The sequence below is a fragment of the Homo sapiens genome, chromosome 7 (assembly GCF_000001405.40).
Source record: "Homo sapiens chromosome 7, GRCh38.p14 Primary Assembly".
In the NCBI taxonomy this organism is placed as follows: Eukaryota; Metazoa; Chordata; class Mammalia; order Primates; family Hominidae; genus Homo; species Homo sapiens.
This window is the reverse complement of record NC_000007.14, coordinates 37802701-37805877: the sequence shown is the minus strand read 5'-3', so window position 1 is coordinate 37805877 and position 3177 is coordinate 37802701. Positions and strand designations below refer to the sequence as shown.

Genomic DNA, 3177 nt, shown 5'->3' with positions numbered 1-3177 from the left:
TGTTGCTTGGTCTCTCTCTCTCTCTCTTTCAGGGGTGCCAATGTGTTGTAGGTTTGGTCTCTATACACAGTCCCACATTCCTCAAAGGTTTTGTTCATTTTAAAAATTCTTTGTTGTTTTATTTTTGTCTGACTAAAATAGTTTGAAATTAAAATAATTTGAAGAACTGTGCTTTGAGCTCTGAGATTCATTTCTCAGCTTGGTCTATTCCACTGTTAATACTTCTGATTGTGTCATGAAATTCTTTTAGTGAGTTTCTCAGCCCTATCAGATCAGTTTTGTTCTTTCTTAAAATACCTATTTTGCCTTTCACCTCTTGAATCACTTTACTGGATTTCTTAGATTCCTTGGATTGAGTTTCAATTTTCTCCTGAATCTCAATGATCTTCAATGCTATCCAGATTCTTAATTCTATGTCTGTCATTTTAGCCATTTCATTCTGGTTGAGAACCATCACTGGTGAAGCGGCATCATTGTCTGGGGTAAATAACCAAGGTTCATCATCTCATGCCAAGGAAATCAAGTATGCATATGCAAGAGGTAGGTTTAGGGGCGGAGGTTTAACAGGCAAAAGAAAGAAAAAGGAGAACACTTCTCTCTCCTGCTTTAGAGAGGGGTGCCCAAATGGGACTTCTGGCCCACAGTGGAGTGCTCAGGATTTTATAAAAAAGCTTGAGGAGGCGGTGTCTGATTTACATAGGACCCAAAGATTGATTAGACTAGGGTGACATTTACATAGCATGTGAGGAAGCTGGCTTCCCCACCCTAATCTTATTATGCAAATGGGATATTTGCCCTGTCAGCGCCATGTTGTCTTCGCCTTACTGTACATATGGTTTGGCAAAGAAAAGGAAAGAAGGAGCTGACATTTTGAACATGCCTAGTCCCCAGGTAGCTCCTTTCCTACTGGCATAGCTGCCATCACTTCCCCGTGCAAACTTCTAGCTTGCCTTTCTATGTCTGCAGCTCGATTTTACAGGTTGCTCTTTGTTAGAAAAGAAAATGATTTGGGGGCTGCTTTTCATTAAAAGGAAAACCTTACTAAAGACTTTCTTACCTCACTGTCTGCCTAAGTAATTTCTTTTTAACTCCTACATCATTGAGGAGCTAGTGTGGTCATTTGGGAATAAGAAAACACTCTGGCTTTTAGAGTTCCCTGCGTTTTTGCTCATCTGTGTGGGCTGATGTGCCTTTAACTGTGGTGTAATTTGAGTACAGTCAGTTGAATTTGTTTCTGGATGTTTTCAGAGGGCTGATGCTTTGTGCAGGGTCTTTATTTGTGGCTGAATTCTTGTCCTTAATTTTATGGGGAGGTATGTTAGCAATGTATTTTTGGTGTTAAAGTTTGGGCTTCCATCCAGTAGATGGCACTTAACCGTAATGGCTGGTAGATAGGCTCTTACCCAGCCACATGGTTCCTCTGTATTTCCTCAATTGCAGCTATGCTCTCTCTCAGTGCTCTGAGAGTGTGGGCCCCTCTCCCACTCAAGTGTTGGCCATATATCTCAGCTTGGCACTCCCAGGCTGTGCACTGTAGCCCCTTTGTGAACTCAAGCTTTTTGTTCTCTCCCTAGCTTGGGGGTGGCAGGGGTGGGGACCTTGACAGTGGCAATGGCAGAGGGCCTTTCACTTGTCTTTGAAGGATTCACCCCAGAGAAGCACAGAGCTGCTACCAATCAAAATGATCAGCTGGGGGTGGGGCAGCTGCATTGTGGGCCTCAAGCCAGGCGGCCCTTCCCGGTGAAGAGCTGGAGGATTGGAGGCTTGCTGTAAAATCAGTCTGGCCTCTTCTCCATAGAGCAGCTGTGGCATGGAGGTGTGAATAAAGCACTCGGGCTCTTTGTTCCTTGCCCAGTCTGGTGGCAGCAAGGGTGGGCATCCACTGCAGTGGCAGTTATAGGGGGCTGTCAGTTGCCTCGGGGAACTCCACCCCAGAAAGACATGGAGCTGCTGCCAATGAGAACATTCAGGTGGAAGTAGGATGGCTGTGCTGCAGGTCCAAGCCAGGGGATGAAGAGCAGAGAGGTCAGGGGCTCACCAGGAAGACAGACTGGACTCCTTTGAATATGGTGGCTTCAGTGTGCTGGAGGTACAAGCAAAACAATCAGTGTCTTCATTCACTCCACAGCACAGTTTGTTTAAAATAATAATAGCAACTATGCATTCAATTATGTATACTTATGTGTATATCTTATGCATATATGTCTATCTGTGCTTATATATGCTTACATACAAGTAAAATGAATGACAGCAGTGATACAAGGGATAGAAGGGAGGAGTTTGAATTATTTTGTTATTATAAGGTACCTGCACTAGCTGTGAAATAGTACAGTGTTTTTGGAAGTTGCCTTGAAATAGTTATACATGTATATTGCAAACTCTAAGGCAACCACTAAAATAAGTGAAAAAAGGCATAACTGATATGCTAAGAGAGGAGAGAATATGGAAACATATAAAGTGTTCAATTAAAACCACAAAAGGCAGAGAAAGAGTGAAAGACAAAATAAGAACAAAGAACCAAAAACAACAAATAGAAAACACTAAATATGGTAAATATTAATTCAACTATATCAATAATCACTTTCAATGTCAATGGTATAAAATAACCAGTTGAAAGACAGAGATTGGCAGAGTGGATGAAAAAAAAATGACACAACTACATGTTGTCTACAAGAAACCCACTTTAAATATAATGACACATAGATTAAAAGTAGATGGATGGGCCAGGTGTGGTGGCTCACACCAGTAATCCCAGCACTTTTGGAGGCCAAGACAGGGGGACTGCTTGAGTTCAGGAGTTCGAGACCAGCCTGGGCAACATAGTGAGACCTTGTCTCCATTAAAAAAAAAAAAAAACAAAAAAAACCTGCATGTGGTGGGATGTGCCTGTAGTCCCAGCTACTTAAAAGGCTGAGGCAGGAGAATCACTTGAGCCCAGGAGGTTGAGGCTGCAGTGAGCCATGATCACTCCAGCTTGGGTAACAGAGCAAAAACTTGCCAAAAAAAAAAAAAAAAAGAGAGAGAGAGAGAAAGAAAGGGAAGGGATGGAAAGGAAAGGGAAGCGAAGGGAAGGGAAGGGAAAAGGAGAAATATGCCATACTAACACTAATGAAAACAAAGCAGGAATCACTGTATTAATTTCAGGCACAATGGACTTCAAAACAAGGAAAGTTAGGA

At 42.4% G+C, this 3177-nt stretch overlaps 1 annotated feature.

Moving 5' to 3' along the window:
- Positions 1768-2268: an enhancer, noted in NCBI's record as "H3K27ac hESC enhancer chr7:37843212-37843712 (GRCh37/hg19 assembly coordinates)". NCBI's record gives its function as "activates a minimal SCP1, AML or CMV promoter by ChIP-STARR-seq in naive H9 embryonic stem cells {active_cell/tissue: H9 hESC(naive)}" and the evidence as "EXISTENCE:reporter gene assay evidence [ECO:0000049][PMID:30033119]".